The 13,669-nt window shown below is 43.9% G+C and overlaps 1 protein-coding gene across 2 annotated transcripts in view, besides 7 other annotated features; it reads left to right on the top strand.

Moving 5' to 3' along the window:
- Window positions 1,335-1,996: an enhancer, noted in NCBI's record as "H3K27ac hESC enhancer chr13:50366519-50367180 (GRCh37/hg19 assembly coordinates)". NCBI's record gives its function as "activates a minimal SCP1, AML or CMV promoter by ChIP-STARR-seq in primed H9 embryonic stem cells {active_cell/tissue: H9 hESC(primed)}" and the evidence as "EXISTENCE:reporter gene assay evidence [ECO:0000049][PMID:30033119]".
- Window positions 1,402-1,531: an enhancer, noted in NCBI's record as "active region_7754". NCBI's record gives its function as "activates an Ori minimal core promoter by ATAC-STARR-seq in GM12878 lymphoblastoid cells {active_cell/tissue: GM12878}" and the evidence as "EXISTENCE:reporter gene assay evidence [ECO:0000049][PMID:35858748]".
- Window positions 1,602-1,851: a silencer, noted in NCBI's record as "silent region_5348". NCBI's record gives its function as "represses an Ori minimal core promoter by ATAC-STARR-seq in GM12878 lymphoblastoid cells {active_cell/tissue: GM12878}" and the evidence as "EXISTENCE:reporter gene assay evidence [ECO:0000049][PMID:35858748]".
- Window positions 1,697-13,669, top strand: part of KPNA3 (karyopherin subunit alpha 3) — a 93,363-nt gene continuing 81,390 nt past the window's right edge. The window contains exon 1 of one of the 2 annotated variants that reach the window (NM_002267.4): window positions 1,697-1,941. In NM_002267.4, coding sequence (NP_002258.2) covers window positions 1,873-1,941 — 69 coding nt within the window. In that variant the 5' untranslated portion in view covers window positions 1,697-1,872. Of the gene's footprint in view, window positions 1,942-2,310; window positions 2,988-13,669 lie in introns of those variants that run through there. The other variant, XM_017020561.2, reaches the window with a different exon arrangement.
- Window positions 1,972-2,541: a silencer, noted in NCBI's record as "silent region_5347". NCBI's record gives its function as "represses an Ori minimal core promoter by ATAC-STARR-seq in GM12878 lymphoblastoid cells {active_cell/tissue: GM12878}" and the evidence as "EXISTENCE:reporter gene assay evidence [ECO:0000049][PMID:35858748]".
- Window positions 1,972-2,658: a biological region, named in NCBI's record as "H3K27ac hESC enhancer GRCh37_chr13:50365857-50366518".
- Window positions 1,997-2,658: an enhancer, noted in NCBI's record as "H3K27ac hESC enhancer chr13:50365857-50366518 (GRCh37/hg19 assembly coordinates)". NCBI's record gives its function as "activates a minimal SCP1, AML or CMV promoter by ChIP-STARR-seq in naive H9 embryonic stem cells {active_cell/tissue: H9 hESC(naive)}" and the evidence as "EXISTENCE:reporter gene assay evidence [ECO:0000049][PMID:30033119]".
- Window positions 2,663-3,182: an enhancer, noted in NCBI's record as "NANOG hESC enhancer chr13:50365333-50365852 (GRCh37/hg19 assembly coordinates)". NCBI's record gives its function as "activates a minimal SCP1, AML or CMV promoter by ChIP-STARR-seq in primed H9 embryonic stem cells {active_cell/tissue: H9 hESC(primed)}" and the evidence as "EXISTENCE:reporter gene assay evidence [ECO:0000049][PMID:30033119]".

The following is a 13,669-nucleotide window of genomic DNA, read 5'->3' as shown; positions in this document are numbered from 1 at the left end:
TAGCTGAGATTACAGGTATGCGCCATATGCCCGTCTAATTTTTGTATTTTTTTTAGTAGAGGTGGGGTTTCACCATGTTGGCCAGGCTGGTCTCGACCTCCTGACCTTGTGATCCACCCACCTCGACCTCCCAAAGTGCTGGGATTACAGGCATGAGCCACCGCGCCCAGCCAAGGCCCTTTCGCTTTAAAGATTGTCCTTTTTGATCTCTTCATGGTATAGTCCTACCAACTTTTGACCTCAGTTCAATTATAAGTACTACAACATTACATACCTGCTCATGTCTACCATAGATTCTGAAAATTAACATACAAGCAAATGAAGCCCACCTGCTCCAGAAAGTAGCTTTTTGTTTTTGTTGTTGTTGTTTTTGTTGTTTTGTTTGAGACAGAGTCTCCCTCTGTCGCCAGGCTGGAGTGCAGTGGCGCCATCTCGGCTCGCTGCAACCTCCGCCTACCGGGTTCAAGCGATTCTCCTGCCTCAGCCTCCAGGCATGCGCCACCACGCCCAGCTAATTTTTGTATATTTAGTAAAGAAGGGGTTTCACCATGCGGGCCATGGTTGGCCAGACTGGTCTCGGTCTCTTGACCTTGTGATCTGCCCTCCTCGGCCTCCCAAAGTGCTGGGATTACAGGCGTGAGCCACCACACCCGGCCGAAAGCAGCTCTTTATCAGTGTAATCCATCCAAATTTCCCTCTTTCATTCTTTCGATGCCCCCAGAGGGAGTGGGAGTGCTACACAGGAGAGTCTGCGGACCAGGGCTGGGCTGCTGCCTGAAGGCTAAGATTCTGTGTGGTGGTAGAACAAGAAGTGTTGGGGGGCATGTAAATACAGGGACTGCCAGAGTGAAGGTTGCAGAACCGGGCTTGGAAGGATGATGAAGAAACTGGGCGACACTAAAGCGCCAGTTCAACAAGTATTGCGTATCTACGACGTGGTAGGCATTGTTTTGACACTAGAGATTCAGCAGTAATTCAACCAAAGTACCTGCTCTCATTGAGCTGAATTTCCGCGCGGGCACCTAGGTAACGCATATAAACACTCGTATCACATACATACACATGTACATGTCAGGTAGAAATGCTATTTATAAAACTGAAGCAGAGCATGGGAAGAGCGAATGAAGGTGGCTATTTGAGAAGACCCCCAAAAAAGCGAGACTGCAAAGCACTCGCGGTTGTTCCTTTTCTGATCTTCTAGCTACAGGCAGCGAGGTGCGCTCCCAGGAAGGCCCGCCCTCTTCCTCCTGATAGGGCGCAAGGTGCCAGGGACGCTCCCCCGCTCTTCCCCGCCCAGAGGCGGCCTTGTGGGGGCGGAGCTTTGTGCCCAGCAACATGAGCGCGGCGCGCAAAGAGCCGCGCGCGGAAGGGTCCCGGCATTCTCCTCGTTCTCACTAGGCGTGGAGAATTACTCCAGGCGGATCGTGGCATGATGGGAACTGTAGTTGACGACCGCCGCCCCGCGCCTGAGGGGCAGTAAAAGTCGCCAGGTCCGGCTCCATTTCTGGCACAAAACTTGCAGCACCGAGGGGTTGTGGAGAGCCCTTGCAGGGGAAGAGGGCAGGGTCATCCCGAGAACCAACGGGCACGTATAGCCCGGCGAACGCCCAAGCCGGTCACCGCCCCCGGTCACGTGTCGCCAGCCTCCGCGGCCGCGCGCCGCTCTCAGCACCGTTCCCGCCCCACCCGGCCCGGCAGTCGGCCCGCGCCTCCCCCGGCGCTACTGCCACCTCGCGCTCGGAGGCGTCACAGAACGTGCTCTTCTCTCCCCTCCCCCCTCCCGCTCTCCCCCTCCTCCCCCTCCCGCTCCAAGATTCGCCGCCGCCGCCGCCGCAGCCGCAGGAGTAGCCGCCGCCGGAGCCGCGCGCAGCCATGGCCGAGAACCCCAGCTTGGAGAACCACCGCATCAAGAGCTTCAAGAACAAGGGCCGCGATGTGGAAGTGAGTGTGCTTCCGCGGTCTGGGCCCGCCTGGCCGCGCCGGCCCGGCGACGCGGGGAGGGGCGGGGGGCCGGCGCCGGGCTGGTTCTCGTCGGCTTGTGGTCGGCCGGAGTTGGCCGCCGCCTCCCGTCACCGCGGCCCCGGGCTGGGCGGAGCGGGCGGCGAGACGCCGGCCGGGCTGCAGTCACCCCCCGGAGCTGCCGGCGCGGCGACCGGGAAATGCCGGCGTTTTCGGCCCCGTCACGCGGGCGCGGCCTGGTGTCGGCGAGGAGGGGATGTGGAGCTGAGGCGGGGTCCGCGGGCCAGGGCCGCCCGGATGAACGGGGATGCTGCCGCCCGGGCCCTCCGACCGCACAGCCGAGGGGGCGGCCGCTGCTTGCGCCCGCCACCGGTGCAACCTTCCGTCCGGTGCAGCCCCCTCTGCGCCTCCCGCGCGGCTCACATGGAGCCTCGGCTCTGCCGGTCCGGGCTCCTACCTTCTGCGAGCCGGGCCCAGGCGGGCGGTGGCGGCCCGCAGAGGGGGGTGGGGACCAGCCGGGTAACTGACTTGTTTGAGGGTGATCGATGGGGGAGGGTAGGATGCGCCAGGACCATTTTCTTATATTCCAGTGCTCGTCTTTGGACTAGTCGTGCCGAGCTGTTGCAGCTCATACTCCTGCAACTGCTGGCATTTGGAGCGAGCTGAAGGTGGACAATAGTTTGCCATCTATTGTGTTCAGGCTTCGGAAAAGAGGTTGCTCCGACCTCCGCTCATAGGACTTGTTTTCTTAGCCTTTCTTGGAGTGGGGTGTGCATAGGGTGATAATTTCTTTGACACGTTTTACTAAAATAAATTGGATACACAGGTTCATAATTCTCTTACATACCTCTTGCTCCAAGCTAGTAGAATTTCCAAGTGGTTGCAAAACTAAACATTCATCGCGGTCACTCAGTTAGTTGCTACTCAGCATGTTGCCATTGTCTCATTAAGGTGACATTAGCAGGTACTATTTGCAAACTCGGCTTATTGAGGCAGCGCTAGAGGTCTCTCTGCAGCTACTGAAAACAGTAAGTATAATGCACAAACTTCACTGGGACCGTGACCTTTGGATTTGTTAGGGGGAAAATGGTTTTAAGGCCGCAGCCTTCTTTGCTAATACTAGGCGACATGATTTGCAGTTTTGTAATTTTTGATAAGCTAGTGTGATTAAGAGGTGTGTTTTATCCTGTCTTAAGGAAGGTTGTGGGGTAAATATACCATTCAGTGTTCTATTTTGTAGAGAAACAGACAAACTCAGGCCGTTTTTCAGAGCTACAAAATTAAATACTAGTAGGAAAGAACCTAGGGAGATATCCGTGGAATTCCCATTTAAATGAGTCAAATAAAGATCATATATTCTTTCCTGGTCATGGTTAAATACCCTTTGTAAGAAATACATCTAAGCGAAAGTAAAACTTGGGAATAGGAACAAGAAATTTTGGAACTGCCTCCTGTTATTGGTCCACTTGATGACAAGTGTTAATTTTGAACTTTTCCCATTAGGAATTTTTCTTGAAGCCTATCCTGTTCCAAATAAAAATTTATTGAAAAATACTCATTGTTTGTACAGAAAAACCAGTAACATTCTTCTCTCGGATATTGGTACAGGTTTTTGTTTCATTGTTTACCTCTATTGTGTTCTGGTAGCTCAGTGATACTTAGTAAGGACTCCTGCACATAATAGGTACACAACAAATATTTGCTGATAAGAATGTAACCCGTGACTTTTAGATGCATGAAAAAGAGCATGGTTGCTAAGCCATTCAGCCTGGTATTGGTCACAACATTACATTTCTCGGGATTCTATAGTGTAACTAAAACATGAAATAGACATTCAAATGGTAGTTCTAATGTGGCAGACACTGTTACGAGCTTCATGATACCTTATTTAATCTGTGTAACAAGTATATGAAGTGTGGCATTATCCCCACTTTACATGAGTAAAGTATTTTTTGAGACGGAGTCTTGCTCCTTTACCCAAGTTGGAGTGCTCAGGCACTCATAGCTCAGCTGCAAGCTCAAACTTCTAGGTTCAAGGAATCTTCCCACCATGGCCTCCCAAGTAGCTGGGACTACAGGCGGACACCACCACACCTGGCTAATTTTTTAATCTTTTTTAGAGACGGGGTCTCGCTTTGTTGCCCAAGCTTGTCTTGAACTCCTGGGCTCCAGTGATTCTCCCGCCTCGGCCTTCCAAAGTGTTCGAACTACAGATGCTAGTCGTCACACCCAGCTGGAACTTTAGATAAAAAACCTCAGTGTGCTTATGTAGCCTGTGCATGTCACTCAGTGGATATGGGTATTATTTATTCACTAATTGTCTATTGGGTATCTATCAATGTTAGGTCTTGGGGATAAGGAATAAGATGCAGTCTGTACTTCAGGGAGTTTACAGTCCAGTGGGGGTGATAATTACAATGCAGAACAACAATTGTTACAGTATAGTATTCCGAAAATGCATGCCAAAAAAACTACTTGGAGGTGAGCAGAAAGGGAAGATACTCTGGTTGATTTCTAATGGATGAATGGGAGTGAGCTGATTGTGAAGGATGAAAGAAAGGTGGCCAGGCAAAGGGCGGGAGAAGGCTGGTGGAAGAAAGGGGCATTCCAGACTAGAGGGAGCAGTAATTGAAGAGTCCTGAGAGAAATGTAGGAGAGAGAGAGACTAAAGGGTAAACTGGGGTCAAATCTGATGAAGGGCCTTTATTGGGGATTTAGGCATATCTAAGAGTAGATAACCATGCTTAGTCTTGTCCATTAGAAACAGTACAACTTAGCTCTGTAACTGAGTAGTTGTGGTTATCAGGCTGTTCCAAAACAGTGAGATGCACTTTGATAAGCTATGATGCCTATTTTTTCACATATAGGATAGACAAAAACTAAAACATGTTATAAATTATAGAAGCAGCTGATACACAAGATGTTAGGTGCAAGAATAAGATCCATACTTGTTAAAGAAAATAAAAGGATAGAGTTATGCCAGGGGATTTGAGTAGAGAGAGGGTTGAGGAAGAAAATTTCTTTGTCATTCAATCGAGAGAGACTTTAAGAGATCTTTGGAGAGGAAAAAAAAAATGAGGTTAGTGAATCTTATAGGAAATATGTACCAAACTTAAAAGGGGCATGTTAACTGGTGAATAAATATCCAGGTAAAAAAGAAGAGTGATTATATTAAAGAGAGGAGACTTCCAGGTGGCCTGTGTTGATGCAAGAATATCTTGTGGCAAAGAGTTGCTTGGAAGCTTTTTCTTAATAGGGAGATGTGAAGGAATTTATTCCAGAGCAAAGAGGAGATGTAACATGATTAGAGCAATGGAAAGGGTGACAGGGCAGTAATACCTAGAATTCATTTTGGAGAAATAGCGCTGTTGTCTGATCTGCAAAGAAGAGTTTTCCAAAAAATTGAGACTGGGAATGGCTACAACCTGGAATGAGGATTTGATGATGCTGTTCTTCCTCCCTCTTCCTCCTCCTTCAAATTCTCTTTATAAAGATCACTGAAGAGAAAGGGAGTAAAGGTTATTCTGAGGTTTATAAATGGAGGAAGGGAGGGAGTAATTATCATCACTGATAGAAATTTGGAGCTTGGGTAGGGGATGCATTTTGTAGCAAAAACTAGGAAGTACATATTGAAAGGGAAACATTTCCTTTTATTTGTTCTGGAATGTGCTTTTTTTTTTTAAAAAAAAAAAAAAAAAAAAAGAGGGTCTGGCTCTGTCGCCAAGGGTGGAGTGCAGTGGCCCAATCTCGGCTCACTATAACCTTCGCCTCCTCCCAGGCTCAAGCCGTCCTTCCATCTCAGCCTCTTGAGTAGCTGGGACTACAGGCACATGCCACCACACCTGGCTAATTTTTGTGTTTTTTGTAGAGACGGGGTTTTGCCATGTTGCCCAGGCTGGTTTCAAACTGCTAGCTCAAGTTATCCTCCTGCCTTGGCCTCTAAAAGTGTTGGGATTAGGGGCATGAGTCACCATGCCCGGTCCTGGAATGTGCATTTTAATGCTAGACCTTTTCATGTAAGGCATTGATTCTTAAAAACTTTTCCTGTTTTCAAAGATAACTTATAGAAAAGTGTGCAAAACAGAAATGTTCTGTTTAATGAATAATTACAAAACAAATGCTCAGGTAACTGCAATCCAGGTCAACTCATTTTCTTGCTGCTGTATACCTCAAGGGTGTGACATTTTCATTAGTAACAGTAATTAATTATTTTAAAAACCTTAACATTTATTGTTTACAGTATATCAGTGCTAAGTACTTTATATAGATTATCTATTTAATCTTCACAACAGTCCTATATCAAGTAAGTACTATTATTATCCCCATTTACTGCTGAGGCAACTTGAGGCCTACAACCCTTAAGTAAGTGGCCTTAAGTCTTCCATCGGGTGTTAAGTGGCAAAGCCTGGACTTACAATATATCAAAGCTTTATGCTAAGCGGCTGGGCGCAATGGCTAACGCCTGTAATCCCAGCACTTTGGGAGGCCGAGGCAGGTGGATCACCCGAGGTCAGGAGTTCGAGACCAGCCTGGCCAACATGGTGAAACCCCGTCTCTACTAAAAATACAAAAATTAGCCGGGCATGGTGGCGCGTGCCTGTAGTCCCAGCTACACGGGAGGCTGAGGCAGGAGAATGGCGTGAACCCGGGAGGCGGAGCTTGCAGTGAGTCAAGATCGCACCACTGCACTCCAGCCTGGGCGACAGAGCGAAACTCCGTCTCAAAAAAAAAAAAAAAATACAAAAATTAGCCGGTCCTGGTGGCTCATGCCTGTAATCCCAGCTACAAGGGAGGCTGAGGCGAGAGAATCACTTGAACCGGGGAGGCAGAGGTTACAATGAGCTGTGGTCATGCCACTGCACTCAAGTCTGGGCGACAGAGTGAAACTCTGTCTCAAAAACAAACAAATAAAGCTTGATGCTAAAGCTAGAACTCTTGCTTACTGTGCTGTACTCCACCGAAGGGAGTCTAAGACTTGACATGTACAAACCACGCCTGAAAGTTAGTGAATGGGGAAAATATTGAAGAAATATCGACTATATCACAGAAATTGCTATTTCTATACTTTAAAACCTTGCAAATTTTTGATGAACTTTACTATTAGATTTATTTGCCTTTTTATCTTTTTACTCTTGCAAAGTTTCCTTCTTATCAGCAAGGAGCCAGTTGGTTGGTTTTACCAAAAAATGATAATCCGTATCTTTGGGCTTAACACTTAAGCTTTATGCTTTAGTTTCTGATACCAGGGCTAATATATATTTTCTCACCTGCAAAATTCAGTTAGCTCTACCAGACTTGCTTCTGTCTCTGGAACCTCCAGTGCTAAGTGGCACTATCTGATTGTCCAAGTTTAAGATTCTATCCTTGACTCCCTTCTCTTCCCCTCCTTCACCCTTCTTTGTATTAGTTATCTGAAGAACCCTCATGTTTGTACCTGTTACCAACCTTACTTCCTCTGCCCCTAGTTTAGACCCTTATCTTTGTTGCCTGAACAAGTATAATAGTGTACCTAGCTCTTCTGTGTTCAGTATCTTCTCTCCCCAGTGTATCTTGTGGATTGATCTTTCTCATATCTTTCTGTGTTACTTTCCTGTTTATGATCCTTCCCATTGACTTCAGGATAAAAGTCCTTAGCATGCCACACATAGTTGTAAGACCTTACCTTTTTTACCTCACCTTGCACTTTTCCTTATATCTCCTTTGTGCCAGCTGTGATAAAGTACTGGAGATGCTTGAGTAACCAGTAGTTTCTTCTTCATGCCTTTGTATATGCTGTTCTGTGTGCCTTCTTTTGACTATCTGTTGAGTTGGGGTTCACTCTGGCAACCTATCTCTTCAGTGAGACTCCTTCATATATCTCTGGAACACCAAGATTACAATTCTGCCACACCATGTCATTCTAGTTAAAAACCAAAAACAAAAAAAAACTTTAAAAGTTCTCCATGAGCCTTTCCTGACTTACAGTATACTTGGTACTATCAGTCCCTATTCTTTTCCTCCTCTCTAGTGTTTTCCTAGGTGAATTTTCCTTCACCTATTTGGGATAAATTGCTGTGATGTACAACAAATTCTGTGTTTGTATAGCTATTAAAGTATTTGGGCTCTGTTGAGAAGCTCAGTGAGAATAGATACCTTGGATGTAACTTGAAACATGAAACTTAATGAGAAGAGAGACTAGATGATATACCTGAAAAAAGTCTACATTTGGGAATGAAAGGTTCAGTATTATTCTAAGACATTAATTTTCTTTTGGTGTTGACTCCATGGCATTGATACTGTTGCCTAGCCCTCCTTGAACAGCCTGTTCTCCTATAATGTATTTCTGTAACATGAACTCGCTCATACTTGAATGGTTAATAAAAAAATGTTAAGGCAAAGTTCATATTGGTTCATATGTGATTTTTAGTATCACATTAATGTTTAGCACTCTTAAATAACAACAGTTGAACATAAAGTACAGAAACAGTTGAACGGATCAAGCCCAGGAGTATGCATATTGGCCATGCACCCATGTTCTGCCTCTTGGCTCTGTTTAACCATATGCAGTGTCTAAAGGTGCTTAACGACCATCCATCCTGTGCATTTCCCTCTTCTTCCTAAGTTTGGAGAGTGTAAAGTGTTTCAGGAATCTATATGCCATATAGCAAACAAACTTTTTTTTTTTCATGAATTCACTAATGGGGCATATACTGCTTCCTGGTTCTCTTGGAGTACTCTTTTTCAGTCAGCTTTGGTAAGTCTTCTTCCTACCCTTTGAATGTAGTAGGCATGGCTTGGGATTCTGTCTACGATTCTTTTATCTGTAGACTGTTTTTCTTGCTCATATCAGCAACTCCCTTGGCTTTAATCATCATTTCAATGTGCGGGGACTTAAATTTCATAAAATCATCTGCTGGAAATTATTCACATGAGCATCTTTTTAGCTTCTCAAGCTCAAAGTGTTTAAAGCCATGTTCTGCCTTTGTTTTTTCTTTTTTCTGTTTATGGCATCATCACCCTCACTGTGACCTGAATTTGAAACTTGAGAGGCTTCTTGGACTTCTCCTCTTCCACATTCAGTCAGATGCCAGTTATGTAGCTCGAATCTCTGTGCTGTCTCTGGATTTTGGCCCTGCCTCTATATTCTGCTGCCTCCAGCCTACTTTAGGCCTTATTACCTGTCACCTTCCTGTTTAAAAACTATCTCCAAAGTGGTTTTCTTCCTTTAGTTTATGAGATTTTTCAGTGAGCCTGATGCCTGATTATTTCTCCAGATTCAGCCTTCCTCCCCCACCCCCTTAAGCCCTAGCAACACTGAACTTCTTATATGCTTATACATAATCTGGAATCCCGCCTGCCCCTCCTCGCCAGTGCTATTTCTATTCTCAGGGCCATCTTGCTGACTGGAATATCCTTCTCTGCCTCCTGTTGCCTGGCTAATTCCTACCACTTTTAAATACTCAACTCTGGGTAGGTACCATTCTTTGCTCCTGGAAGAAGTCTGAGTGTATCTTTCTCGTTGCAATTATGATAATGTATTTTAATTAGATTTTATTTTTCCTACTAGATTGTGAGCTTTTTGAGGGCACAGACTATGTATCTTCATTGCCTACCACTTAGTACAGTGGCTAGAACCAAGCAAGCACTAAAATATTCCTTGAATAAATACATCGTAGGCACCGCAGACACAATAATTTTTCCCATGTGTATTTTTGAACTGAAATGTTTACTCTTTTAGTGCCTTTTCCTACTGCTTCCCAAATCAACTCCAAGCTTTTTATTATGACAGGTAAAGTTCTGGGAGATTAAGGTATATACATAGTGAATGAATTAGTGATTAAGGCTAATTTGTATGGCTAAGTAACATTCTATTGTATGTATATACCACATTTTGTTTACCCATTCATCTATAGATGAATACTTGGATTGTTTCCAACTTTAGTCTGTTGTCTCCCAACCATTTAAAAATGCCACTAATTTGTTCGGGTCAGTTTTCTTTTATTAAATTGCACTATATGAAATTGCTTTTTTCCAGGTTTGTAACAACAGCCAAGTATTGGCAATTTCATATTTAGCCTAATAGACTGTCCTAATTACTGGGTTTGTCTGTTTCCTTCTGGTGGTGCTTAACTGGTTCCTCTTATTTGTTTTTTTACCACCCTTCAGATTTTTTGTAATCTGGAAGTTTTTTTAAAAAAAAATTTTTAAACATTATTTTTGAGACAGAATCTTGCTGTTACCTGGGCTGGAGTGCAGTGACACGATCATGGCTCAAGCGATCCTCCTGCCTCAGCGTCTTGAGTAGCTAGGACTACAGGTGCACACTACCATGTCCAGCTTATTTACTTTTTGTAGCGATGGGGTCTTGCTGTGTTGCCCAGGCTGGTCTTGAACTCCTGTCCTCAAGCAGTCCTCCCTCCTCAATCTCCCAAAATGCTGGGATTATAGCCATGAGCCACTGAGCCCAGTCTAAACTGGAAGTTTGATTTAAAGTCTTGATTAGCTTCAAGTTAAGCTTCTATTAATTTATTTAAACTTCAGTTGGTGGTAGTGTGTACCTTAGAATATATCTCAGTAATGATAATAAGAATGATCGTAGGGTTCAGGTGATAAAGAACAAATAGTTTAATGCCATCAATGTGAAAGTTACTTAACAGTTTGTGAAGTGAATTTTAGTTATTTGGGGGAAATGGGACATGAAATTGATGACATTTCAAGAAGTGGAAAAAAAAGTAACTTCTTGGTATCCAGTAAAGGAGTTACAAAGTGTATATCTAGAACTTCTAACTTCAGAGTCAGTAGGATTTTCTTTCTATGACTGACACCACTCCTCAGTTGACCTTTTGTTTAGTTAGCATACGGTTTGGCTGTACAGCTGGCCCTTTGTAACCTGTGGATTCGTAGGGCTGACTGTACTGTGCCATTTTATAGAAGAGATTTGAGCATCTGCAGATTTTAGTATCTTCGGGGGAGGGAGCATCTGGAGCCAACCCCCCCGAGGATACAGAGGGAGGACTGTATTCTCATTTTCAAGTGGAGGTGAAGGAATATTAAAAGTATAAGGAGGATGTAGCTATCCTTTCTTGCAGTTTTGCTGTTAAGAAAAATTTTCTTACAGCATAGCCAACATCAGCAGTTAAAATATGGTAAAATAAATCATGACTATATTTACTTGGAATTAATCATTCTTGGTTTTCTGGGTTAGGGAGGTTGTATACATACTAGATTTTACTTTATTTTGACACTTGCCTTAAATAGAATATAATTTAGTTGTTTTCTTGGTTCTTGAGAATCACCATTATGCATATGGATATTGGGTTTTGCTTTTACATAAGTGATGCCTTCAGGTTGTTAAATTAACAGAATTTTCTTCTTGATTTTTACGCTTGTGGAGTTTTTGCTCTTCTTAATTTTTTTGGCTTGTCCTTCCCTTGCTTTTGGTCTATCAGCTTTCTTTTGATACTGTCAGCATATTTACTTGTGGTAGCCCCTATGTTTCTTTTTATTTGATGCTTTACATATTCTAGTGACTTGGGAAACAGATTTATTAAACATTTATTTAGCTTTTTTTTTTTCTTTGAGACAGGGTCTTGCTCTGTCACCCAGGCTGGAGTACAGTGGCACAATCACGGCTCACTGCATCCTTAACTTCCCAGGCTCGAGTGATCCTCTCAAGTAGCTGGACAGGTGCACGCCACCACGCCCAGCTAATTTTTTTATTTTTTGTAGAGACAGGGTTTCGCCGTGTTGTCCAAGCTGGTCTCAAACTCTTAGGCTCAAGTGATTCACCTACCTCAGCCTCCCAAAGTGCTGGGATTACAGGCATGAGCCACCGCGCGCAGCCTATTTAGTATTTTCTACATGCTATGTAGACATCATTAGGTGCCAAAGATTATAAATATGAAAATATTCCCTGATCTAAGGAAGTTCAGTTTAGTGGGAGAGACTGATACTTAAGCATATGGCTAGTGTACAGTGTGGTAAGTTCTATGATACAGGTAGATAATTTGTAAAGTACTATAAGAGTATAGAAAAAGTGTGATTGTACCTGGGGAAATTAGTAAGGTTACACAGAAGGTCATACTTGAGGTAGGTCTTGAAGGATGAGTTTGCCAACTCAGAAAGAAAAATAGTATGAATAACAGTGACTGTGTCATGGAGTCTAAAGGCTTGGCATGTTTAAGCTGCAGCTGATATGAGGGGCATTGTATCCATTCCCCCTGCTTTTGGAAACAACCTTCTGATTTGGCCTTTGGAAGCTACTTTTCTGCCATTGGCTATCTTATGGTGGGATTTTTAATGTAGGTGCTCCTGCCTCTGATTAATTAATGTGCCTCACATTTTTCTGGCTAACACAAATTAGGCTAATTTGTCCCTGGCATTTAAATCTTGAGTGAGCTGATACTGAGACCTAATTGATTCATCTTGACAGAAGTACTGTGAAGGTAACCATCCGTTAATTCCTGCCGGCTAGATATGTGGGAGTTGCTTTCGTAGGCTTGATTCTTCAGCTTTGTCTTGGTTTTGTGAATTACTCTATACATTCTACCAATAAATTCACTCTTCCCTTTATTTCTTCTTAAATTTACCCAAGTCAGTTGCTGTTGTTTGCAACATAACTCTAAGGTGATCAACTGTCTTGGTTTGCCTGGAACTGAGGTAGTTCCCAGTATACAGGACTTTCAGTGTTCAAACAGAGAAAGTCCTGGACAAACCTTAACAAGTTGATTGCTCTAATTGAAACAGTTTGGGCATAAAAATAATGAGTTCTCGGGATCCAAGTGTTGTTCAGATGAAAATATTCAGTATGCAGCTGAAAACAGTGCAGAACTAGCTTGCTTCAGTTATGTCACTCAGCAGCTATTCGAATTCTTTACTGAGTGTGAGGGATAAAACAATGAAAATAATGATAACCAGTAATTGTTGAGCACTTAACTATGTGTAAGGCACTGTGTTTATAAGAATAACCTTAAATAATCCTCACAAAGTTTACATTATACAGAGGAAGAAAATGAGTTCTTCATTTCTTCATTTTCTTCTTAATTTGTTAAGAACATACAGTTAGGAAGGGGCAGAACTGGCACTGAGTCCCAGATTTCCAACTTTAAAACTCCATGCCCTTAATAGCCATTTTCCTACTCTACCTCAGGGTTCCTGCTCAAGGAATGTATAGACTAGTAGGCAGATTATGTGAAAGCAAGTAAATATTTCCTGTAATGGAAGTGTGTACCTAGTGGAGCGGGCACATGGGGAAAGAATCACCTGAGTTGGCCTGGGTAAGTCACTGAAGGCTTCATGGAGGTGATTGTGCCTGAGCTGAAAGTAGAAAAATGTGTAGGTATTTATGGTAAATCTTGGGCAAGCCTGGAAGTAAGAGATAGTGTGATAGATTCTGGGGAACTAAAGTAACAGTATTTCTGGCTGGACGCGGTGGCCTTACACCTGTAATCCCAGCACTTTGGGAGGTTGAGGCAGGTGGATCACCTGAGGTCAGGAGTTTGAGACCAGCCTGGCCAACATGGTGAAACGCTGTCTCTACTAAAAATACAATAATTAGCCGGGTGTGGTGGCGTGCACCTGTAGTCCCAGCTGCTTCAGAGGCTGAGGCAGGAGAATCGCTTGAACCTGGGAGGCAGAGGTTGCAGTGAGCCGAGATTGCACCACTGCACTCCAGCCTGGGCAATGGAGTGAGACTCCATCTTAAAAAAAAAAAAAAAAAAAGAAATATTTT

The sequence above is a fragment of the Homo sapiens genome, chromosome 13 (genome assembly GCF_000001405.40).
Source record: "Homo sapiens chromosome 13, GRCh38.p14 Primary Assembly".
NCBI classification, from domain to species: Eukaryota; Metazoa; Chordata; class Mammalia; order Primates; family Hominidae; genus Homo; species Homo sapiens.
Note: the sequence above shows the minus strand (reverse complement) of the source record. Positions and strands in the feature narration are given on the sequence as shown.